General features: G+C 42.1%; 1 protein-coding gene across 51 annotated transcripts in view, besides 2 other annotated features; it reads right to left on the reverse strand.

Moving 5' to 3' along the window:
* Window positions 1–26,833, reverse strand: part of APBB2 (amyloid beta precursor protein binding family B member 2) — a 404,516-nt gene that overhangs the window by 140,073 nt on the left and 237,610 nt on the right. The gene's annotated exons all lie outside the window — the stretch shown is intronic.
* Window positions 4,382–4,451: a silencer, noted in NCBI's record as "silent region_15383". NCBI's record gives its function as "represses an Ori minimal core promoter by ATAC-STARR-seq in GM12878 lymphoblastoid cells {active_cell/tissue: GM12878}" and the evidence as "EXISTENCE:reporter gene assay evidence [ECO:0000049][PMID:35858748]".
* Window positions 16,070–17,032: an enhancer, noted in NCBI's record as "H3K27ac-H3K4me1 hESC enhancer chr4:40968186-40969148 (GRCh37/hg19 assembly coordinates)". NCBI's record gives its function as "activates a minimal SCP1, AML or CMV promoter by ChIP-STARR-seq in naive H9 embryonic stem cells {active_cell/tissue: H9 hESC(naive)}" and the evidence as "EXISTENCE:reporter gene assay evidence [ECO:0000049][PMID:30033119]".

Raw genomic sequence — 26,833 nt, forward strand, 5'->3', positions numbered from 1 at the left:
GAGCATCTTAAAATGCCTCAAGTCACAACACAATAGATTTCCTTCCATACCTGTCAGCTCGGCAAAAATTAAAAAGTATTACAATACCAATTGTTGGCAGGCATGTAGAACAACAGGATCTTGTAGATACTACTGCTCGTAGAAGGGTAATTTGGTACAATCATTTTAGAAAAGAAAATAGTATTAACTAGTAAAGTGGAAGATATCTCTACTCTATGACCCAACAATTCCACACTCGGTATGTGCACCAGGTAACATATTCATATCAGCAGCACTGAAATAACCAAAACCTTGAAACAACCTAGACAACCATTTAAAACAGAATGAATTGGCCAGGCACAGTGGCTCATGCCTATAATCCCAGCACATTGGGAGGTCAAGGCGGGAGAACTGCTTGAGTCTAGGAGTTTAAGACCAGCCTGGGTAACACAGGGAGATGCATGTCTACTAAAAATTTTTCAAAATTGGCCGGGTGTGGGGGCTCACAGCTGTTATCCTAGCACGTTGGGAGGCTGAGGTGGATGGATCACGAGGTCAGGGATTTGAGACCAGCCTGGCCAACATGGTGAAACCCCGTCTCTATAAATACACAAATTAGCCGAGTGTGGTTGCATGCCCCTGTAGTCCCAGCTACTCAAGATGCTGAGGCAGGAGAATCACTTGAACCCAGGAGGCGGAGGTTGCAGTGAGCCTAGACTGTGCCATTGCACTCCAACTTGGGTGACAGAGCAAGACTCCGTCTCAAAAAAAAAATAATTAAAAAAATTAAAATTAAATTTAAAAAAGACAATGAATAAATTACAGCAGAATAAATGAACAAAAATGAGCTATACACAACAATATGGATGTATTTTACAAACATATCATTGATCAAAAGGAAGACAAAACAGAATATATTAAGTGTCCATGCCAAGTCCAAGAACTCAACTACATTGCTTAGGCATATAGATGTAGATGGTAAAACTATAAAGAAATGCAAGGATACAGTCATCACCAAAAACTGGAGGATGAATACCTGGAGTGGGGGAGAGACAGTGAAGCTCACAGAGAGGTTTCTCAAGGACTTCTGGAGTATTAGAAATGCTTTATTTCTTCACTGGGCTGGCAGGACCATCGACGCTCCCTTTATAATTATGTGTTAAGCTGTATGTTTACAGTATGGGTGTTTCTCTATGTATGTTTTTTTGCACAATTAAAAAAAAATACCTCAGTGGAGTTCTGAGATCAAAAGTTTCAGTTGTTTCTTAAACAGAGATATGCCGGAATAGAAAGCCGGCCTAGTCGAGGTATTTTTCAGTACCTAAAAGATAATCCAAGCAAAAAGAATGGATTCATTCAAGATGCCTGCTGGCTCCAATGAGACCAGGAAACCAGAGGAGAGTCTGCGAAGACGCGATACGGCTCAGTGCAGCCATGGCTTGGTGCAACTGCGTGGCAACTGAAGTGTCAATGCGGTAGGGACCTTCGTATCGTGGCTCAGCCACTCCCTATGTGAGTGTCCTTGGACAAGTTCCTCAACCTCTTTGGGCTTCAGATGCACATCTGTAAAACAGGGATCATAATAGTACCTGCCTCACTGGGTAGTGTATAAAACACTTAGAATAAAGGTTGGCATGCAGCAGCCGTGTTCACTGCATGGATGGTCACTGTTAGTGTTATCATCACCATCACTAGAAATTGGAGGTCTCAAGAAGCCAATACTACAGCAGCACATTCGAGTCACTAAAGTCACAATATAAGAACATGTTTTCATAGGTCCCAAGGAAAATGCTCACTACAGAATCTCTAGGGTCAAATTATCATCATGGTTCAAAGCAAAAAGATCTCTGTAATACTAGCACTTTGAGAGGCCAAGGGGGGGTGGATCACCTGAGGTCAGGAGTTTGAGACCAGCCTGGCCAACACAGTGAAACCTGTCTCTACCAAAAATGCAAAAATTAGCCGGGTGTGGTGACAGGCACCTGTAATCCCAGCTACTAAGGAGGCTGAGGCAGGAGAATCACTTGAACCCAGGAGGTGGAGGTTGCAGTGAGCCGAGATTGCACCACTGCATTCCAGCCTGGGTGACAGAGCGAGACTCTGTCTCAAAAAAAAAAAAAAAAAAAAAGGACAAAAGATCATTTTATGGTGACTTTCATAGGAGAAGAAGGTCAGTTAGGCTCCCTCAGCAGGGCCGGACTTCCAGGATCTGAGGAGGTCCGGCAAGTCCAGATTCTACCCCACCTGCCTTGCTGACTGTCTTCCTTATTATACACCGTGTATGCCCCTGGCTGGTGACGCCTCTACTGTGACAAGACATCTTCTCTTTCTCCAAATATCTCTCTTCTCTCTCAATTAATGAGGAAGCAAAAATATTTCATAATTTTTAATTTAAATATTTCATAATTTTTAAAATAAAGATTGATGCCCTCATTCTCCATTTTTAAGTAGACTTGTGAAACTTCTAGGTTTCTCTCAAACATAAACCAACCCCAAATGAATAAACTTGCTTTGCATTTGTACATGATTCTGAGCTTCCCCCTGACTGGGTGTGAGGCCTTTATTTGGAAAAAAGTTCCCCATCCATAAAACAAAGCATGTTTTCATACATATCGCTGCATTTAATGCTCACATCAATCCCAGCTAGAAGTCAAGGGTGGAATCCAGGTCCTTCAGGTCTTGAATGCAAGTGCTATCTTCCCGCTGGGATGTTATAAAAGCTAGTAACAGTAACAGCAACAACTGCAAGGACACTGACGCCACTAGGTGCTGTATCACGCGCCCTGTGTCCTTCGTTGCAGGAGCTTGTGGTTTGTCATAGCTGCCCTATGAAGGAGGCACTATCTTTATCCCCATTTCTAGGGCTCAGAGAGGACAGCAGATGGGTTTACAGCCAAAAAGGTAAACTATGTCCTCATATAAAAATGGATTTTAGGCCAGGTGCAGTGGTTCACGCCTGTAATTCCAGCACTTTGGGAGGTCAAGGAGGGTGGATCACCTGAAGTCAGGAGTTCAAGATCAGCCTGGCCAACATGGTGAAACCCCATCTCTACTAAAAATACAAAAAAAATTAGCCAGGCGTGGTGGTGGGCACCTGTAATCCCAGCTACTTAGAAGGCTGAGGTAGGGGAATCACCTGAACCTGGGAGGTAGGTTGCAGTCAGCCGAGATCACGCCACTGCACTCCAGCCTGGGCAACAAGAGCAAAACTCCATCTCAAAAAAAAAAAAAAAAAGGATTCTACAGAGACCTGAGAAAAACCCAGATGGACAGCATTGGGAAATTAGAAGATGAATAAATAAGGATGACAACATAACCAAACAATGGCTACAAGGCTGAGGCTATGAGATCCACAGCTGGCTTGACCATGGTCAACTGGTGTGTCATTGCACCGAGATTCGCCCGCAGACTGGCCCTGAGCCCCAATCCACCCCGACATTCTGGGGATATTAAAAATGAGAACACTTCCAACTCAGGCCTCTATCCAGGGGCCTCCTTTAAATGCCTTTCCCCCGAATTCTGCTCCAGTAAATCCAGGCCAGCCACTCCAGCTGGCCCATATATTTCTAAAACCCTCGTGCTAGAAGCCTTAAAGATCAAATTCCTCTCTCCACATGCTGCAGAGGCTGAGATCCACATGCTTCTCCACCTTCCCTCCTTTCTAGTCTCCTGTCATCACTGCCTCTGACTGAAGGCACTGTCACCTGCTGACAGGGGACAGGTCAAGAGTGGGAGCTGAAAGCCATCGGTGTCCTTTCAAAGGGGCTCTGCGGCTCTTCGTAATTTGTGCTTTTTGTTCTTTTGTGAGGGAACAGGAAGCAGGGCCTGGAAGTCAAAGTGTAAAAATAGCAAGGCGAAGAGCCCCACAAAGTCTCTCTTGTGCTGGGAGCCTCTTGGGCCAAAAGCAATACTTGGCCTGAGAACAAGCCCATCTGTGAGCAGCAAGGACCGGCTCCTTCCAGCCACCTCAGGCGCCAGGGCTAGGGGCCTGGCTTCTGAACAAGGACCACTCCCGGGTGGGGCCAGTGTGTGAAGCAAACCCACTTCTAATAACCCTCTTCCCCCTAGGCTCACCTGCAGAAATCCAAGGGTCAAATGAAAATAGATTTGCTTCTAGCAGCAGCTGGAAATTTCCTCTCCTGCTGCGGAGGGCACAGGAAGGAGGAAGGGGTGAGCTGAAAGTCTAAATTTAGCAAGGTCTGTACTACAGAGCACAAGATTTCCCTCGGGTCCTTAGGAAGGCAATCGCTCCCTTCCCCAACATTTGTGCACCCAGGGCTTTGGGTGTGAAAGGCACGGGGTGGAGAGGAAAGAGGGAAGGTGGCTTAATTAATTCAACAAATGCTTCCTGTCTACTCTGTGCCAGACACTGGTTTAAAGCTAGGGGTGCAGAGGTGATGACAATAGATGGGGAACTGCACACCCGGCCTAAGACACTAGTTCTCAAGCATGAGAGTCACCTGGAGGGCTTGTGAGAACGTACACTGCTGGGGAGCCTCGGTCACTCTGGAGTGGGGCCCAGGAATCTGTATTTCTAACAGTCCCCACTTTTGAGAACCACTGGCCTAGGAAAAGAAAAGGTACTCATTCTTTTCTCTTTTTTGAGATTGAGTCTTGCTCTGTCACCCAGGCTGGAGTGCAGTGGCACGATCTTGGCTCAGTGTAACCTCTGCCTCCCAGGTTCAAGCAATTCTCCTGCCTCAGCCTCCCAAGTAGCTGGGATTATAGGCACACACCATCACACCCGGGTAATTTTTTGTATTTTTAATAGAGTCAGGGTTCCACCATGTTGGCCAGGCTGGCCTTGGGTGATCCGCCCGCCTCGGCCTCCCTAAGTACTGAGATTACAGGCATGCACCACTGTACGGCCAGGTAGTCATTCTTTTCCATCAAACTCTATCTAACTACTGGGCTCCACAGAAGAAGAAATGTGACGTGTGTACTCAGTCATTCATTCATCCACTTACTCATTCTTCTGTACCGATGACCTCCTATAAACGCCAAATATTATTTAGAAGCTGGGAATACAGCAATAAATAAGAGAGGCAAACAATCATGTCTGGGGATAGGGTGGGCTATTTAAGAGGATGTCTGGGAAGGCCTCTAAGGGAGTGAGGTCTCCCTAAAGTAGGAGAAGGAGCCAGCCTTGGGAAGGGACAAGAGAACAGCATTTCTGAAAGAGAGAACAGCATTTCTGAAAGAGGGAACAGCAAGGGCAAGGTCATGTGGCTGGAAAAAGACTGTATGTCATTACAACAGAAAGGTCACTCGATTAGGGGTGAGAGGTCTGTGATAAGGCGTAAAGCCCCACTGGCTAAAGATTCATCCTTTATGCAAAGGATTATCTGAAGCTATTATGTGATGTGATTTGTATTTTGAAAAGATCAGAGGAATAATCTGCACAATGTTCCCATTCTTGAAGGGATCTTTCTGATCTCTTACAAAGTCTTAGTGGCAGCTGCTACTACTGACTCTTTGGAGCAATGTTATTCTCGACGGAGCTTAACGCTTCAATCCAAACTATTTGAATTTAGCCTTAAAACTCTTTTTCAGGCTGGGCACAGTGGCTCGTGCCTGTAATCTCAGCTACTTGGGAGGCTGAAGTGGGAGGACTGCTGGAGGCCAACAGCTTGAGGCCAGCCTGAGCAACATAAAAAGATTCCATCTCCCTCCCCTAACCAAAACATATTTTTCTTTTTCTTTTTTTTTTTCTTTGAGATGAAGTTTTGCTCTCGTTGCCCAGGCTGAATGCAATGGCATGATCTCGGCTCAATGCAACCTCCACATCCTGGGTTCAAGTGATTCTCCTGCCTCAGCCTCTCGAGTAGCTGGGATTACAGGCGTGTGCCACCACGCCCGGCTAATTTTTGTATTTTTAGTAGACAGGGTTTCACCATGTTGGCCAGGCTGGTCTCGAACTCCCGACGTCATGTGATCCACCTACCTCGGCCTCCCAAAGTGCTGGGATTACAGGTGTGAGCCACCACACCTAGCCCAAAAAATATTTTTCTGATCACACGGTGGCCCTCCTCTTTTGCCTCTCTCTTTTTTTCTCTCTCACTACTTAGTCCCTTTATTTTTTCTGGCCCAAGGTTTGTGTTGTCAGAATATAGCAAGCAGGGCTCTTCACTTCCTCCAGCTTCACCACCAACTTTGGAAGACAATCAACAGCCCAGAGCCAGGACTCTGGGTTTAGATCATGAATAGGTTTGCTGAGGGTTCCAGGCAGCAAACAGAGGCTGCTTAGAATCTGAGGTGAAATTGTCTTCAACCAAAGGAATCGGCAGAAACACTGACTATGGTAAGAAAGGGACAGGCCCCAAAGTGTCCAAAATTTGGGAGCGCCCAGAATCCTGACCCACTGGCCTGCTGGAGGGGAGGAAAGCCTGCCTGAAGAGTTTCAAGGCCCTTATACTTCTTAATATGTCTTTCCAAGACATAATTTAGGTCTTGAAATGTCTACCACAGCCTCAGAAAAATTACACTTTGTATTCAATTGAACTTCCCTGTGGTAGCATTATTTTAACAGTTGTTTAAAAAAAAGAAAAAAAAAAACCTTAACAGTTCTGGGAGTGTTAATTCCCTAACACCTTTCCCCATATTTTTCATTAAAAAATTAATGTTAAGATTTCTGAGTATCTTTGAAATAGGAAGCTATTTGTAGCTGAGGATTTTTCTGTTGAAGATTCTTGAGTAAATATTCCAAGAACTCAATACTTAAAAGGTCCTTAAATTTGGGCTTTTTAACATTACATACTTTGTCTATTTTTATCAAGCATGTTGGCATAAAATCAACACAAAAGTTTCTTAATTTAAACACATGGAGGCATAGTCTCTGCTGGGCTTACTCAACTACATTTTCTCGGGGCTGTATTACTATCAGGAACAGGAGCTCTGTAGCCACACCAACAGCCTGGAATTGAATCTAGCCCCGATGCCTGCTAGTTGTGTGACCTCAGAGAAAATGGCTTAAATTCTAATGACCCATCTGCTCTTTGTAAGACAGGACTGATTTCAGCTCCTACCTCACAGGGTGGATGTGGAACAAAGGCGGCGCAAAGCCGGGCACATAGTAATCACTCAGTAAATGTTTATTATCATTAGCTATCAATTGCTACATTCATATGTGGCTTTGGAAAAAAATATTCTGTAATTCAAAACATTTTTTTAAATGCCATCAACCACAGTGTATTTCTTCATTAAAAAAATATGATTTCTGAGAGTCTGCAACAATCACATTTTTTTTTATTAAAAAGGTAATTTGTACTTAGATCAAGAAAACTAGATAATAACACTGGCCACCCACATGTCAATTTAGAAATGATGTATCATGTGAGAACACACTTGTTTGAGTACATCATGCCTCTTTCATTAGCACGTGGCTGTTTTCTGTCATGTAGTTGAGCCCTTAAAGAAACAGAAAGGAAGTTAGAACAAAATAGTTTAAATCTGTTTTCTATTTAAGACATTCTTGATGGGGGACTGCTTCTGCTCCACCTCATATTCCTTTTTTTTTTTTTTTGAGGCGGAGTTTCGCTCTTGTTGCCCCGGCTGGAGTGCAATGGTGCGATCTCGGCTCACTGCAACCTCTGCCTCCTGGGTTCAAGCAATTCTCCTGCCTCAGCCTCTCAAGTAGCTGGGATTGCAGGCGCCTACCACCACGCCCGGCTAATTTTTATAGTTTTAGTAGAGATGGGGTTTCGCCACGTTGGCCAGGCTGGTCTCGAACTCCTGACCTCAGGTGATCTGCCAGCTTTGGCCTCCCAAAGTGCTGGGATTACAGGCATGAGCCACCACACCCGGCCTCCACCTCATATTCTCATAAAAGTATGCAGATAGGATATGATCAGAGGTTGGTAGAAGATAAAAGTATACATCTCCGTTCATAGACTATTAACCAAAACCAAACACAACATAGTCAGGAGGACTCTGCATACAAACTTAAAACTAAAAGGCATGAAATGTAAGCAGCTAAAAATTACCTAGAAGGAAACTCTGTATTTGTAAATATTCAACCATCCATCGGTCCATCCATCCATAAACTTATATATAATTAAGGTTAATCATATGACCTGGTTATAGAATATTTTAGATGTAGTAAAATATTTTAATATTTTATCACTGGAATGTCTAATTCTAAATACCTCCACACAGAATAAAACACGTATTTTCTAACTAGTGATATTAAAGTCTTGAGATGAAGTATAACCTAAGAACACTATTTCCTTTTAGAGTGTGCACATAGTATACAACATAGCACTACTGAGAACCTCAGGCTTAAGGGTGCTCCTTCCAAAAAAGCTTAATAAAAACTTAAAATCTGAGTGAAGATTTGTATTTTACTTTAAGAAAACTAGAGACAATTATGGTAATCTCAATTTTGTTTTCTTGAGAAGTACTGGGAAAAAAACTGCATTGAGATCACAACCCTTAAAAATCCAAAAGCCTAAGCATAATAATGAAAGGAGAATGGGTGTAGGTGAGAATGGTCTTGAAATCAGCAATTTTTGATAATCTTCTATCTCTCTCCCTTTCTTCCTTTTTTGAGACAGGGCCTTGCTTTGTCACCCAGGCTGGAGTGCAGTGGCATGATCACAACTCACTGCAGCCTTGACCTCCTGGGCTCAAGCGATTCTCCTGTCTCAACCCCCTGAGTAGCTGGGACTACAGTTGCCCGCCACCATGCCCAGCTGATTTTTAAATTTTTTGTAGAGATGGGGTCTCATTATGCTGGCCAGGCTGGTCTTGAACTCCTGACCTCAAGTGATCCTCCCGCCTCGGCCTTCCAAAGTGTTGGGATTACAGGCGTGAGCCGCTGCACTCAGCCTTAATTTTTTATAATTTTAAAAAGTAGAGATCACATCATATTTAGATAAAATAGCTAGGCAGGCTTTATTACTTTCTCCTCCAGCTGTCTGCCTATCCCACCCACCTAATGAGTGACAGCAATACAACCTGTTCAATACCAGGCAGGATTTATTTAGGTTTGGCAGGAAGACTACCTAGTCACTCGTCCTAACCACAGTATTCCAGAAAGATCTATGATTATATGGACATTAAGCTAAGTGTAACTGCACAACATCATTCAGAGAATGTGCCCCGCTGCCACATCCTCTGTCAACCTAATCTTTCAACTTAATTTTATTCTTATTTCAGAGTGAGCAGCAGGAGAAGAGAAGACAAAATACAACCAGGGGCATGAATCTTTCTTTGGCTTCCATACAATTAAACAGAATAGAATTACTAGTGGCATCACACTCTTTCAAGGTAGGCAGGTTTGAAAATATATTAAATGGAGACAATTTTCTTTTCTGTTATTTTGGCAGGATCTTCAATATGCTTTTCTCTCAGAGCTGCAGTCCTCTGGCTAGTATACAACAGCAACGATCACAAAATGGAAGCTATTTAGAAGTGGCCTTGATCAACTCCAACGTCATTATTCTTCTAAATGGTGGCATGCCAGGACTTGATTTCCCACTTAAGTTAGATACTTCAACAAAAGATCATTATGGAGAATTTGGGCAATTGACACAGTATTCAATGACAATTTGGCCTTTTATCAGCATATTACAATTACAAGCTGAAGTGGGCGTCATGTTTTGTAAAATCCAAATCTGTGTGTGGGAACATTATTATACTACACTCTCATAGATTAGAATGAATATTATATTATACATATGCATAAACCATATACATTTTATTTCTGATATAAGAACTATAGCATGCACTTCCAGAGCACTACAGGACTTCCAAAGAGCTATAATTAATCCAATCTCACTTGATCCCACAAAATCTTGCCACAGATGCAGAGCAGATATTATTCCCATTTTACTAAAGAAACAGATTTCAGCAATGTTAAATAACTTGATCGAGGTTAGGAAAATGCTTATCATTTGGCTGCAGAAAAATCTTGGTGTATTTTTATTTGGGAGCCATCCTATTCGTTAAGTGTATTTTAAAGGTTAAGTGCCCTTAAAAAAATCAGTAGAACGGAGGTAAATTGTTCAGCCTGTCAGAGTGGTTAATGGACAAGCTTTAATATTTGATGTAAAAAAGGATTTTAGACTATGGATGGGGAGGAGGAGTACAGAGAAAAACGTTTTTCTGAGATTATGTTGTGAAAACATACTTAAAGGGATCAGAGTAAAAGCTTCTTTCTTATTACTCCTCTCAGTAATAAGAGGAGTACCTCTACCTACATTAAAAAAAGAATTTGAGGCAGGCTATATAAAACATATAAATATATTTCAGTCAATAAATAACACAAGAGAATAGACCCATGGGGTTAAGATATTTAAATTACTGGTCAAAAAATTTACAAAGTTATATAATAAAAGAAGTTCATCAAAAACAGAAATTTTTTTTCGGGTTTTTTTTTTTTTTTTTTGAGACGGGGTCTCGCTCTGTCGCCCAGGCTGGAGTGCAGTGGTGTGATCTCGGCTCACTGCAAGCTCTGCCTCCCGAGTTCACGCCATTCTCCTGCCTCAGCCTCCTGAGTAGCTGGGACTACAGGCACCCGCCACCATGCCCGGCTAATTTTTTATATTTTTAGTAGAGACGGGGTTTCACCGAGTTAGCTAGGATGGTCTTGATCTCCTGACCTTGTGATCCGCACACCTTGGCCTCCCAGAGTGCTGGGATTACAGGTGTGAGCCACCGTGCCCCGCCACTTTTTTTCTGTTTTTGATGTTCATCAAAGCCAGTGTTCATCAACAGCCAGTCTTTCCTACAGCCATATAAACTTTTAGTTGGAAACATGGCCACCCGATATAAACGCTACATTTCCCAGCCTCCCTTGCAGCTAGGTGTGGCCATGCAAGTAAATTCTAACCATTGAAGTGTGAGCTCAAGGACTGTATGGCAATTTCCAAGAGCCCTCCTTTAAAAAAAAAAAAAAAGCAGTCGGGCATACTTTTTCCTTCTGCCTGCAACAGAGATGCTGCCTTGGACTATGAGGACATAGCCTAGGGACAGCAGAGCAGGAAGGCAGAAGAAATTTGGTTCCTGAGGTCTTTGTAGGGCAGAGCCATCATATTAGTGGACTGCTACTGCCAGGCTTCTATGTGAAAGGGAAGTACATTTTTATTGTAATAAGTCACAGTTATTTTGGGGTCTTGTATTACTAATAGTTGAAATTCATCCTATTTCATTCATCTCACAGCAAAAAACTAAATTCCAGGCCTAGTCTAGGAAAGAAACAGCTTCTAATGGATTAGCTTTGCAATCTCCTATTCAAACACAAACATATAGACATCTAAATTATAGAGTTGGGTTAAGAAATTGGAAATCATCATTCTCAGTAAACTATCGCAAGAACAAAAAACCAAACACCGCATATTCTCACTCATAGGTGGGAATTGAACAATGAGATCACATGGACACAGGAAGGGGAATATCACACTCTGGGGACTGTTGTGGGGTGGGGGGAGGGGGGAGGGATAGCATTGGGAGATATACCTAATGCTAGATGTCGAGTTAGTGGGTGCAGCGCACCAGCGTGGCACATGTATGCATATGTAACTAACCTGCACAATGTGCACATGTACCCTAAAACTTAAAGTATAATAATGAAAGAAAAAAAAAAGATGTAAAAAAAAAAAAAAAAAAAAAAAAAAAAAAAAAGAAACCAGTTTCCTGATTCTCATCTGGCCCAAGACTCCTTCTGAAACATCATATTGTTGGAATATAACTTCATCGGTTATGATTCATTCATTTTCCACCACCCACCAATCCAAGCATCTTAACCTCATTTCCAAGTATTGTCAAAAATGCAGACAAATGCAGACCAAATGCAGACACTGCATTGGGCTTATTTTTTCACAAACTTCAAGAAATACCTGCAGGATTCAGCCAACCACAAGCAACATCCAGTCATTAATCTGACTCAAGGTTTTCAATTTTTGATCTATGCCATTCTCCTCCTCAAGACCCTCCAATTCTAGGTCAAGAGAGGAAAGCAAACGTTCTCTAGAGGGTTAACAAAATGGCAAAACCAATTAGCTGCCACACACCTGTGGAATAGCTTGGTTTTTCTTTCCCAGCAATGAAAAAGTGATATGCAGAGCTCTGAGTTTTTCAAAGATGCAGGGGCTATTGACAGAAAGGAGGCAGGGGTATTTGTGGATCCCATCTGCCAGGGATGCATGTATAGAAACTGCCATTTTTTTTAACGCTTCTCAAAAATAGAATCTAGCATAAGACAATATTAGGTAATTGAGCCAAAATTCCAGGAAAGAACCAGTAAATGAAATAATTATTCTCAAAATTTTCAAACGATAATTCATGCTCAAAGTTTAGAAGGACATCCTCCTTTCTGTAAAGATGAGAACACAGAACTATTTGGTGTCTAAATTGTGAATTCTCGGTTGCAAAATGTTCAAAAAGGTCTCTTATCGATGCTATTAATCACAAATTGAACAGATCTAAGTTCCTTAAAGCAAAGACCAGACTTCTTGTTCTTTTTACTGTAATCAACCAAGGTACCGCAAACATGTCCCATACGTCATAGGTGGGCAATGTAAGTTTTCTGAATATAAGAGAATGTATTTAGGAGTGGTCCCCTTTTTTTCCTATCTCATTCTGAGAAACTACAAAGGTTGCCTAGATAGTATCTATATGAATGGGAAAGAGGAGGACAAAGAAGTGGGGGAAGGGAGGGAAGGAGGAAGGGAGGGATTCAGGTGGGGGTTGGGGAGTACATATCACCATACAGCCTGCCTGGGGAATCTGAGTCCTCCTTTGCTATGACATCCAAAAAAGATTCAGAAATGCTGTTTGCTATTTTTTATTCACCCACAAATGTACCAGTTAACCCACTAGGCCTCGAATTCCAGCCAGTAGCTAAAATTATTTTCCTATGAGAAAAACGCTCTTGAAGCGTTAGAGGTTTCTTATCTGCAGGGTCTCTGGGAAGGTTTCCAAATTTGTTACACTACAGAAATACTTTGGTTCTTTTTTTCCCCTTCCTCATTGCAAAATCTAAGCCTCTCGCTTGTGAAAATCTTGATTTATACCAGGTTTTTGTCCTGGGCTAGCTCCAGTTCCTTCTTTCTGGATCTACTGGTAGTTAGCGTCCATTTGTTAATGATGGTCTTTCTGCTCTTGAATTCTGGCATGTTCTAAGCATCTTCCTCCTCAAACTCATTCCATTACTTTTTCTTTTTTTCTTCCTTTCTTTTTTTTTTGAGACAGGGTATTGCTCTCTGTTGCCCAGGCCGGTGGGCAGTGGCACAAACATGGCTCACTGCAGCTTCAAACTCCTGGGCTCAAGCGATCTTCCCACCTCAGCTTCCTGAGTGGCTAGGACCACAGGTATGCACCATCACACCCAACTATGTTTTTTGATTTTCTAGCAAGACAGGGTCTCGCCATGTTGCCTAGGCTGGGCTCAGATTCCTGGGCTCAAGCGATCCTCCTGCTTTGGCCTCCCAAAGTGCTGGGATTACAGGCATGGGCCACCGCGCCCAGCCTCTATTACTTTTTCTATGAAAGGAATTACTATAAATGAAAGGCCTTTGAGAGAAGACTCTGCTCATCACACATAAATGATCCTTAGCTCTCAGAAGTGGGAATAGAGAAACATTCTTTGGAAGCAAATGAATCCGATGCTATATCAAAGTCTTCCTCACTGCTGACAAAAATACTGACAATAATCGCCTATTTTGGCAAACATCAGTGGGACCAAGTGCATGGCTGTGTCAAGAAGTTTGTCCTAGACAGCTGTTTGTGCTTTCTTCCTCATAGAAGAAAACACTGCGTGTCTTCCTGTGTTGCAGACATGCTTTGATGAATGAACTGAGTGCATTTACCCTTCTCTTTAGAAAATATTACAGTGGGAAGTACCCAACCATGGAGCCCAAAACAGAAAGGAATTGAAAGAAAATACAGAGTTTAAAAAATTTCCTTTGAAGAATGCAACAGTACAAGTTACTTTTAAAAGCAAGAATGCAGTTTCATCATGAATTTTCCATGGGCTTTCTTTTTGTTAAGGGTAATACCTTTTTTTATCCCTCCAACCCCCCACCAACTTTCTGCTTCCATGACTAACTCATTTAAAAAAAAAATAAATTCTGCTCTGCTGATAGAACAAGAACTGAAGATTTTCTTACTGTGACTAAAGGCTACATACACTTGTACTTGGCCCAGATTTCAACTGGTCACCCTGGAAAAGCTTGACCCTCTTTTGTGGCCACTGGGTCTGTTTGAGAAATACACCTACAAGCATTGAACTAGTAAGCTATCCCTAAAAAAACAGTCCATAACTGATTCACCTACCTGTCATCTGATTCAACCAACAATTGCAATGCTGTGTTTTTCACTGAGCAAAACCACGTAAAATTATATCCATACATTCATCAATAAAAATAAGATAAACAAATCATTTTTTTCCCCAAAAGAAGTAAACGACATACACCCTATGGCCCAGCAATATCGAGAGTGTATGCCACATGCCTTCTCATGCAGTTCAATTAGAGGAATGTGCGGGGTGCTCCCTGTGGTACTGGGAAAATGGGGGCAACCTGCAAGTCTATCACTCTACCAGGGGAAAGGTAAAATGTGTTGGATTCACAGAATGGAGCACCATCCAGCCACTGGAAACAATGCAGCCCATGTACACATAGCCTATGGATACATCTCCAAAACACAGTACACGGGGGAAAATACCCATTGAATAAACACACACACACACACACACACAACAATGCACATTGCAAGTATAGTTTTGAACAAAAAGTTACCCATTAAACACATTAGAATAGTAGCCGGTAGTGGTGGCTCACACCTGTAATCTTAGCACTTTGGGAGGCCAAGGCGGGCAGATCACGAGGTCAGGAGATCGAGACCATCCTGGCTAACACAGTGAAACCCCGTCTCTACTAAAAATATAAAAAATTAGCTGGGCGTGGTGGCACGTGCCTGTAGTCCCAGCTACTTGGGAGGCTGAGGCAAGAAAATTGCTTGAACTCGGGAGGTGGAGGTTGCAGTGAGATGATATCACTCCACTGCACTCCAGCCAGGGCGACAGAGCAAGACTCCATCTCAAAAAATTAAAAAAAAAAAAAAATGGTTGACTATGGGTGGAAAAACGTGGCAGCTAGGTAAGGAAATAACAGCAAGTAAACAAGTAAGTCCATTAAATAAGAGGGATGCTTTGCATGCGTGGAGCAGGGATGAAAATATATCACGAATTATGACATATAATTAACTGCTTACAATTTAAGTCCAAAACAAACTTGCATTTTTAGATTTATATATTTCCTTAACTGTAAAAATACTAATGAAAAGTCACCAAAGATACAGACATTGTTTAAATAATTATTGGAGGGGCCCAAGGCTCTGAAAAGCCCCAAGTTCTAGAGCTGTGCTGTCCAATAGGGGAGTCAGTGGCCACATGGGGCTACTGAGCATATTAAACGTGTCTAGTCCAAATTGAGATGTGCTGTCAGTATAAAACGCACATGAATTTGGAAAACAATAAAAAGGATATAAAATAATAATATTTATATGGATTCTATGTCAAAATGATATTTTTTATATATTGAGTTAAATAAAATAGATGATTAAAATTAACCTCGTCTATTGCTTTTTACTTATTTGAATGTGGCTATTAAATATTTAACATTAGGGATGTGGCTCACATTGTATTTCTAATGAATGGCAGTATTTTAGAGGCTTCCAGTGAGCCAGAGGTTCAAGAGAGATTCTTTTTATAAAATTTATTTGGAGCCTCAAATTGGAAGGTCCTGGAAAACATCATGTGGTCCCATGACTGGAAGGATACAAAACTTGTTCTGAATTAAATATTAAAATTCTAGGTAAGGAATGGCCAACAATTTTGAAGCACTCATAACGTTCTACTGCTCTCACTTTCAACACTTTTACCCTTCTCTAGAATTAATGCTGTTCTTTAGAAATTCAAGTCCAATCCTTGAAACTAAACACAAAGAATATCCTAATATAACTCATACTGAAACTATGATTTAAATTGGAAAAAACTGATAATTTACCAATATAGATGCACAAATATGTGACTTAAGCATCTACTACTGGGAGGTGTTTTTATAATCAAAATGACCTTTGTATTAACAATTTAGAGATTATATATTCAGTAATTCCTCCCCCCTCGTTCTTTCTCTCTGTCACATGTGTACTATTTTCCTCACACTCCTTTGTATGCACGAACTGCTATGTAGTAAAGGCTGCCACACTCTTTTATGACAAGATCCTTGCATTTTCGTCTTTGTGATGGCAGCGGTAGCCCATCTGGAGTGCTGCTATGATGCTGGCTGCAGTGGAGGAGGCATGGCCAGGGCTGTGGACTCCACCAGCCAGAGGGAGTTGGGAACAGGTGAATGCTGCCCCACCTTCCAAGTTGGAGGGAGGGGGGCACTACCCTCCTGGGCGCAGCTACAGCCACCCAGCTGCTAATGTGGACCCAGGCATCTCTGTACTCTTGGGGGCCTAGAAAGCCCCCTGCCCCTGCAGGCTCAGAAGTGCCTGTTCCTGCTGCCTGGCCTCTCCCCACTCCAATTTTGGAGCAGTTGTGGCTGAGCCTGGGCACTGTCACAACCTGGATGGGCATGTGCGTGCTTGAGGCAGTGCTGGCATACCAGCCCCCTGCTGCCTCAGCCCCCTCCAAACTTTGGGCACCAACAAGCACAGCAGAGAGGCTGAGGGGAGGTTAAGGGTGGCTCGGCACAGGTCTGCAGGCACCCCTCAGCATGAACAGCCTGGGCACCATGGGCACTGTGAATGGCAGGTTAATGGCGGCAGGAGGCAGATAGGCTCCTGGGCAGAAAGGGTCAGGTCCACAGTGAAACCGCACCTTCAGGCCAGGGACAACCAGAGGCCTAGGGGCTGGGCTGCCAGTTCCATGGACCAGGGTGAGAATTTATGGTGCTTTTTTAGGCCTGCCCATGGTCACTCATGGACCAGTCAGCATGCACTTCCTCCCCTCTGAAGCCCATAAAAACCCCAGGTTCAGCCAGACTCAGGCAGATGATGGGATCACCTGCCTGTGGAGAGGCGCTAACCCAGTGGGTTTCCTCTCTGCTGAGAGCTGGGCAGACAACAGGATGACCTGGCTGTGGAGAGGAGCTACCTACTGTGGGTCTCCTCTGAGCTGTTCTGTCACTCAATAAAGCACCTCTTCACCTTGCTCACCCTCTACTTGTCTGCATACCTCATTCTTCCTGGACGTAGGACAAGAACTCGGGACCTGCAGAATGGCAGGGCTGAAAGAGCTGTAACACAAACAGGGTTGAAACACGCCCCTTGCTTGCCACGTTGCAGGCAATGAGAAAAAGAGCTGCAGCCTTTTGGGGAGCCCAGGCCTAGGAGCTCCCTGAGCCAGGGCTATGACTCCCTCTTTGGGGCTCTGTGGTTCCTGGCATCTCCAAGCTTCTGGGCACCGATGCGTTTACTGGTGCCAGCCATGGAAGTTACTTGCAGTATGCCTGGTCCAGCCACAGCCTCACAGGGAGCCAGTACCCATGCCAGCACCTGGAGCTGCCTGCCCCACCACAGCTAGGTATGCCTGGCTGTGTGCAGTGGCCGGACCCCATGCTCACTCACACAGCCCTTGCCACTCGTGTCTGGCTCACTTTTGGCAGGTGTGGGATCCAGGCTAGAAGCGTGAGCCGAGTGCAGTCTCCCAGGCCAAGTGGGTGGAATGAGCCCAGCAGGCCCGAGCAAAACTCGGGCAAAGGTGCAACCAGCCAGAGGTTTCATGCCAGAAGAGCTACACCTCCAAGGATCCTGTGACATTTGTACCCCTAGCACTAAGCACAGTGCCTGGGACATAATGGTTAGACAACAGCTACCCATCAAGTGGAAGGGAGGGCTTTTAGAGGGGTAGGCTGAGATGCTGGGTAGAAATAGAGTCCGATAATTTACATTCTTGAGATAGCTTTTAAAAAGCATAAAAAGTGCCAAACACTGAGCAGTGTTTTCACATTTCATCAACAGCAGCAGCCACACTAACATTTACTGAAGTTCTGACAGTGTGCCAGGCACTGTTGTTCTAAGCACTTACTGTGTATCAGCAGCCCTTTAAGGTTGGTGTCATCTTCTCCCCATTTTACAGCAGAAACAGAGGAGGGAAGTAACTGACTACGGTCCCAGAGCTAGTAACAGTAGGCTGGGATTTGAGCCAGGCAGTCATATACCAGAACCTATGTTCCTGAGTACCTATTAGTCAATATATAAAATTGTATTTCAGAAACTGACTCCAGAAAAGTACAGTGCTCGTAGATGCATGCTCTGCTTGCTAACCTCCTTAACAGTGCCTCAGTCTACACTTTCCAGGGCCTCGCTTGGATTCAAAACTGGCTTTATGACTGCTTGTTGTGACTACAGTGCTTCCTCTAATCATACTACAGCTATTAATTTCTCATGAACATCCATTTCAACCAATTCTTGTTCCTCTTCCTGTGCAAAGTAAGATTTCCTTTAGAATGGCACTGCATGCAATGCCCTCTTCAATATGGCTTCTCCTCTCTTTGCCATCTCATTTCCTTATGCCCCATTCCAATCCAGTATCCAAATGGACACTCACTGGTCTCACAACATGCCTTACATATCTGTATCCCTGTGCCTTTGCTGGTCCTATGGGCTGGAATCTCCTGTTTTTCTATCTGACACTAAAACTTGTTCATTCTTCAAGGGTCACTTCCTCCACAAAACTTTTCCTAATCACCCACTGTTGAAATAAACCTGTTCCTCTCTTGATATGGTTTGGCTGTGTCCCCACCCAAACCTCATCTTGAATTGTAGCTCTCATAATTCCCACATGTTCTGGGAGGGACCTGGTGGGAGTTAATTGAATCATGGGGGAGGTTTCCCCCATACTGTTCTCATGGTGGTCAGTAAGTCTCACAAGGTCTGGTGGTTTTATAAGGGATTTCTCCTTTCGCTTGGCTCTCATTCTCTCTTGCCTGCTGTCATGTAAGACGTGTCTTTCGCCTTCCACCATGATTGTGAGGCCTCCCCAGCCACATGGAACTGTGAGTCCACTAAACCTCTTTTTCTTTATCAACTACCCAGTCTCAGATATGTCTTTTTCAGCAGTGTGAAAACAGACTAATACATCTCTGTACTACCATCTCCATTTAGAGACAAATTATTCAGGGCAAATTTCAACTTAGCATTATAGTTTCTAGTGTGACACACCCACCTCCTTTAGCTCCTACACCCTGAAGTTAAGGACCCTGAAGTTACATGTGTGAGATCCATAATAAATGCTTTTAAGAAGAAAATCTAATGAAAAGTGGAAGCTGTTTTTTGCAGGACTGTATGTACCACATTCATGAGTTTAGAATTTATTATACAGGCAACACAATGCTATCAAGAGTTTGGAGCAGGGAAATCCATATGTTTTCAGATTATTATTACTGACAACATAGACAACAGATGAGATGAATTTGTATAAGTGTAAAAAGCTATTTATCCTAACGTGTTCAAAAATTACATGTCAATAAGTGAAAATATGGAGCCAAAGTAACATATAATTATGAATTCTGCATCCCCATTTAATTTTGCTATCAATATAAATCAGTGATTAAAAACCCAGTCCCTGGATGTTTTAAAGAGTCCTTCCTCCCAGCGTGTAACTGTTGTCATGACAACATGACTTCCAGCTGTATCTCTGTGAACAAGCTTATGTTTAAAGGGAGAGGACAAGAATCAATCAGGTTAAATAAAGAATACATTGACCAGTTTTGGATTGTAAAGGGAACATGTTTCAACCCAAGGTTACCCAATATAATATCTTTAAAATCCCTTTAAGTAATAGAATCAGGCTGGGCTTTTTCAATCAATAAAATTGTGCTTGCATCTATATTCTTCACATATAATGATAACACATACTTAAGTGCTGTATAACAGCCCTGTAATTAGTCAGGGATTTTTCAAAACATATCCTGCCCTTACATGTATTGATATTACCCTAAACCTGCCTACGTCAGAGGGGATCCATCTTTTTTCTGCCCTCATCCTCATCCCTTCTACAGGATTGTTTTCTCATTAGGAAGCAACCGTTTATTCAAAGGAGATGGGGAAGAGGGATGAGGGCCCATTATCCTGGAAGTCCCTTAATCCTCCTACCCTCCCAAATCTTCTAAAAGTTGGACATCTTGGCATGACTATATAAATTAATTTGAAGATTATATGGGAACCACTAATTACTCCTTAATAAGGATCATGAATAAGTGAGAACTTGACTTAAACGTTTATGAACAAAATGAAAGACTTCCTTTCGCATGGCACTGCACTCGATGCCCCGTTTAGTATGGTTTCAATCTCATTTTTTTTCTCATTCTCCTCAGAATCAATTTCCTCATTTTTTCCAAGCATTGATTTTAGATTAACATTGCAACCTCTCCCCACTCCTCCTTTTTTTTTGAACCAAAGGCATTTAAACTAACTGCATTTGGGTTTTGTTTGTTTTAAGACTGAAGACAGCTTCATGCATCCATTCTACTTCAGCAATGGTCTTGCCAGTGAGACTAGAATGCTCTGACACCACGGGCTAGACTCAGAGTAGTTCTCCCGAGGGGTACTTCCTATCTCGGGACACATGAAAATGTATGGGAGTGATGGGTTCCCACAATGAGGCACCACTGGTAGGTAGAGGCCAGGCACACTAAGTGACCTGCAATGAGCAGGTCACGTTAGTTAAGGGTAACCCACTGCCCTCGTTTCCTGGAACCTGGCCAGTTTTAGCACTGCAAGTCCCACAAGCCAGGAAACCCCTCAGTCCCAGGCAAACCATCACCTTAAGTCCAGCAAAACCAAAGACTGTCCCTTCCCAAACATTGGAGGGCTTCCTCTCTCTCAGACAGTACATATACATTTGCCCCTATGTCTTCTAAGAATTCTCCAAGGTCCAATAACTAAACAGTCCCCTTCTGACTGTGCCATTTATTTACAGTTTATGTCTCAAGAGAAGAAGCATTTTCCTTCATACATACTTGTAACCTTAGAAGTTCCTAGTATGGGTGAACCTTCAAGCTCGCAATGATTCCTATACCAAGGCTATGAAACATCTTCTTATTGCTCAGTAGATTTCTACCGACTGATAAACTCCAGCAAAACATAACGGGGGCTATTAACACGATTCTTTCTTATGAGACTCGAACTCTAGGAGGAAGAAAAAAAATTAATCCTAAAATTTAAACATACTGAGAAACAAACCAGTGACTTTTTAAACCTGAATTCTCTTATCTTTCATCTCTTTCATTAATTTTTTTACAAGTAATTTCCTCCATTACTTTTAAGCTGAGAAGGCATGTTATAGTACTGACAAGTGCAAAAACTAAATTCTCTACTTATTCATTCGAATAAAGGACACAATAATTGAAGTGAGATCTCTAAGGATTACATTATACATCTTTATGCAGAAGCAGGAGGAGCTTTCTCTGGGAAAATGGTTATGTCAGCTGCTTTCCATTCTCTTTAAATTTTCCCATTCTGAGGCTATTAGATAACATAACCGCTCATGGCTTCTGCAATATTTTTCCCAGAAACGTTTTCCTTATATGGTCATCAAAGGAGCACTGATCTCTATTTAGCAATAGAACTTAAGAGGCCTGAAGGAGTTAATATCTCTAATTTAGTACTAGAAAATGTTTCAAAAGTAGAGAAAGAAAACCTATCATATATCCCCTTCTTTTGACACCTTTTGAGTCTTAATCTGACACCAGGTGGCAGATATTTTGCTTTAACATTAAAATTAGTGAAAGTAATCCCTTAAATTCTTGATCTACATTCAAACCATTGACTTATTAATAGGTATGAAAAGCCTATAGTGCATAATGAATCCTTTCATGTTCAGATTTGAGCTTCAACTTTAGCGCGTATCCTTACGGGACAATTAATTCATAAGAAGAGTGACCAGAGAAAACTAAAATATAATATTTGGTTTCAATCTCTAACATCGAACAAAAGTGCTCTCAACAAAAAATAAAATTCCCACAAATAAAAATCCACACTTAGATAAATTATAGACTATTTTTACTGCTCAATTTTATACAGGATTAATCCAACAATCCTTTAAAATAGCAAAATCCTGGCCGGCTGTGGTGGCTCATGCTTGTAATCCCAGCACTTTGGGAGGCCGAGGTGGGTGGATCACAGGGTCAGGAGATGGAGACCATCCTGGCTAACAAGGTGAAACCCCGTCTCCACTAAAAATACAAAAAATTAGCCAGGCGTGGTGGCGGGCGCCTGTAATCCCAGCTACTCGGGAGGCTGAGGCAGGAGAATGGCATGAACCCGGGAGGCAGAGCTTGCAGTGAGCCGAGATGGCGCCACTGCGCTCCAGCCTGGGTGACAGAGCGAGACTCCATCTCAAAAAAAAAAAAAATAATAATAAATAAATAAATAAAATAGCAAAATCCCTAATATATTTAATTTGTCCACTTTTATATACTTTAAGTCATCCACTAATTTTCAGAAACTCCTAAATAGTAAATACAAGGCACTCATTCATTCATTCATGTATTCATTCATCAGTTCATTCAATGCACATGTGCCAGGAACCAGGCATTGAACTAGGTGTTAGAAGTAAACAGAGGCAACCACACTGCTGACTTCACAAAGCTTGCAGTCCACAGGTGAAGAGTGGAATCCAGTTAGTAATTTCCAGTTACATTGTGTGTCATGAGAGAAGTAACGAATCCCATGAAGTTTTAACCCTAGTGAATACAGTTGGTGACATTAGACTATTAGCTCAATGAAGGCAAAGGATAGAGTCAATTTTGCTCAGTACTTATCCCCAGGGCCTGTCTAAGATTTGGCACTACAGTGAGTGCTTAATAAGAATTTGCTAAATGAATTCCACAGCCTTGAATCTTAGACTGCAACATAAACATTTCTAGATATTTTATATCCTTAATCAGAAGTATTTGTTGAGAACCAGTGGTATGTACAATAAACACTGTCTTACACATTAGATTCTTTCCTTCCCATAAACATATATTTGAATGACATATACATACCCCTTTTATCCCAAATGTGCAGAATATTCTCCAATTTCCCTTCCAGATCGACCCTCCCTCTTTTCCACCCTGCTGTGTATCCTGAGGTAAACTCTATGGACTACATCAATGAGCTCTCTTGGCAGGTTCGACCAATAAGAGGCTCAGCAAGTGATCAGAGAGCCTGGGAAAAGAAGGTCAGGATATTAACACCCCAGCTTCCTCTCTACCATGGCACAAGTTAGCCTGGACTAGTCAGGCCATCTTCTCAAATTCACAGGTGTCAATCTAGCTCTACCTGGGTTCCAAGAACTTTCTCTTGACTTAGCCCTTCAGGCCTGGACGTGCTAATGAAAACCTGCCGCTGCCAACCCTAGAAGCCTTCCCCATACCTTGGAAGTTTTTCTTAAGTGTGCTCTCACCCCTGTGTCTCACTGGAGTCATCACCTATTTCCCACCAGGTCTCTGATTCACACAGAAATGTATTACAGTTGTATTTATTTCCTAGGGCTGCTGTACCAAAGTATCACAAACTGAGTGGTTTAAAACAACAGAAATCTATCGTTCCATAGTTTTGAAGGCAAAAAGTCTAAAATCAAGGTGTTGGCAGGGCCATGCTCCCCTGCAAAACCATTAAGGAGGGATTCTTCCTTGCTGCTTTGAGCTTCTGGTAGTCCCAGACATTCCTTGGTTTGTGGCAGCACAACTGCAATCTCTGCCTGTCTTCACATATCCATCTTCCTCTGGATTCACCTGGCATTCTCTTTCTTCTGTGTGTGTGTCTGTCTCCAAATTTCCTTTTTTTTTTTTTTTTCCAGACAGAGTCTCACTCTGTCGCCCAGGTTGGAGTGCAGTGGCGCGATCTCGGCTCACTGCAACCTCCGCCCCCCAAGTTCAAGCAATTATCCTGCCTCAGCCTTCCGAGTAGCTGGGATTACAGGCACGCGCCACCACACCTGGCTAATTTTTTTGTATTTTTAGTAGAGACGGGGTTTCATTACGGTGGTCAGGCTGGTCTCGAACTCCTGACCTTGTGATCCACCCACCTTGGCCTCCAAAAGTGCTGGGATTACAGGTATGAGCCACTGCACCCAGCCAAATTTCCTCTTCTAAGAACACCACTAAATATTGGATTAGGACCACTCTAATGACCTTACCTTAACTTGATTACAGGTGCAATGACTCTCTTCCTACATAATGTCAGACTTATAGGTACCAGAGGTTAGCTCTTCAATGTATCTTTCTGGGCGGACACAATTCAACTTATTAATATAGTGAATGTACTCAGAGATACCAGAACTGTTTGAGGGTAGGGAGAAATCTTCACCACACTATACTCTCAGGTTTTAGCCCAGGGCCAAGGACACAGAAGGAGCAATACATGTGTGCTCAAACAGACCAACAAATCAGTAAACCAGTTAATAAATGGCATATACAGCTACTTTTTTAAAAGGAGAAAGATTTATAGTTTTATTATAGTAAACAGAGACTAAAAGAACAGAAGTTGCCTAACCACTTCTCTGTTATAGAATTATAAGAAGGGATGCTGAACTTACAGCTTGCCTATACATCCAATTTCAGGCATATCTAATTCCAATATCTCCATGAAGATCTGTCTGGAGAAGTAAACCTCTTTAATCTAACATGATCAGAGAATATCTACTGAACGACTCACTACTTTGGGCTGGATTCTAACATAAATTCTGAGAATACACAGTAAGAATGGCATACAGTCGCTGCCTTTAAGGAACTCACATTTCTAGTGGAGCCAAAGCAACCTTACATTACAAATGCCGAGGGGCATGTGCATTGATGCTCATTGATCATTTCTCTGCTTTATTAAAAAAAGTGCTCAAAACATGATTTTACTTACATACCCCTTTTATCCCAAATGTGCAGAATATTCTCCAATTTCTGCTACAACTGCTAACTGCTACAACAAGAGACACTTCAACCCTTTGTCTCTACCACTGCTAACTGACATGTCCTTTCAGCATTTAGGGTTTGGTCTGGGTCCCTCTCCTTCCTCCCCACCCCAATGCTAGGCTATCACTCCCTAATACCAGAGGGCTTGGTTCTATCAGCTTATTTTTTCTGCTGATCCGTCCTCCCACCATCCACTCTCTTCTAACCCACTGCAAATAATGTCTTGTCAACTATGAAACCATGTTAGAAATGTACATAAATCCGAGTAAACAGGCCTTGAGTAAGGGCCCAGAGAGTCTTCAATAAGTGAATTGAACGTGTTCCAGTATATGGACAACAGGGAATCTATCTTTGGTTTCTCAAAAGGCTTTCACCCTTTTTTTGGCTTCAAATTACTAATCCAGTTCTCCCCTCACTCCCCTGCACCACAGTGCTTTTCTATGTTGAGTACTAATCACAACCATTTTTGTCTAATTTTGTGTTTAATTATTGTCTGACTTCTGCAATAGAATTTCAGCTCCTTGAGGCTATAAACCTCATGGACGTATCATTAGCACAATCCCTGGTACATGCTGCACGTTATTAATAAATATCTTCCTCTTCTAACATTTATGAGTCCTTACTGCCCCAGGCACTGTATGAAATACTCCACATGCTTTATCTCATATAATCTTAGAGTTGGCCTAGCAAGAGAACCATCACGTCATGATGCCTTCCCTACAGTGCACACAAACAGCTTTCAGGTAAATAAAGAATTTAAATGTAGTAAGAAAACACACACACACACACACACACACACACACACACACAACAACCACTCTACTTTCCCCTATATAAACCTCATTCTCTACAAAAACAGAGAACAAATTCTCTACTGATTTCTTATTTCTTAACCCAGGACTTGGATTAACTGATTCTAGGGACTCTCATGAATACTTTCATTCTCATTTAATCCAAACCAGTAAATTTACATTACTCAAATGCTTTTTTTTTCTTTTTTTCCCCACACAATATAGAAATATGGAAATATTCAAAGACTTTTATTAAATGAATTTTTATCCTTCTTTCTGGCCAAAAATATTAGGAAAACTATCTGCAGTATGAAGATTTATACAAACTCATAAAATATTAATAATGTTTAAGGCTATTTTTGTTTCACATAAAACCTTCATTATTTCTCTCCTCTATAAAATTCAGTGCTACAGAGTTAATAGCATATAGAAAATTTACTAAAATTAGACTTTAATTTCAAATTATTATTTAGACATGAAAAAAACCAACAATGTTGAATATAAGCCAAAAATCCCAGTTTCATAGCAGCGAGTGGCAAGTTTAAAATGGTGCTTATTTTTAATTTTATGTGCAATGTATAATTTACTGTAAAAACTAAATCATATAATTAATGGAACTCACTATGAGAATTAGCTAAGATGCTAGTTGTTGATCTGACACCAGGGGGCAGACATTTTGCTTTAACTCTAAGGTTAGCTAAGGTATTCTAAATCTTTTAGTTAAGGGACTGGAGACCTTTCTTTGGGAATCATATTACCATAGGAATTTCCAACTTTTAAAAATTAGTAAAGTGCCTAGAGATTAAACAGCAGTTAAAAACACTTAACAGCTGTGATCATGGAGCCTCTGACCACTAATGTGTACTGAACTTCCTATGTGAGGGTCATCAATCTGTTAAGCAATAGATCCTAAACAGACACAGCACTGGGGCTCAGGAGCTTCCAGTCTAGGGCTGGAAGTGAACATTAATTTCCTATTTATTCAGATGGGGCAAGGTGGCTCATGCCTGTAATTCCAGCACTTTGGGAGGCCAAGGCAGGAGGATTAGCTTGAGCCTAGGAGTTTGAGATCAGCCTGAGCAACATGGGCAACATAGTGAGACCCCATCCTATAAAAAATAAAAAAAATTAGCTGAGCATGATGGCTCATGGCAGTGGTCT

Source organism: Homo sapiens, chromosome 4 (assembly GCF_000001405.40).
Source record: "Homo sapiens chromosome 4, GRCh38.p14 Primary Assembly".
In the NCBI taxonomy this organism is placed as follows: Eukaryota; Metazoa; Chordata; class Mammalia; order Primates; family Hominidae; genus Homo; species Homo sapiens.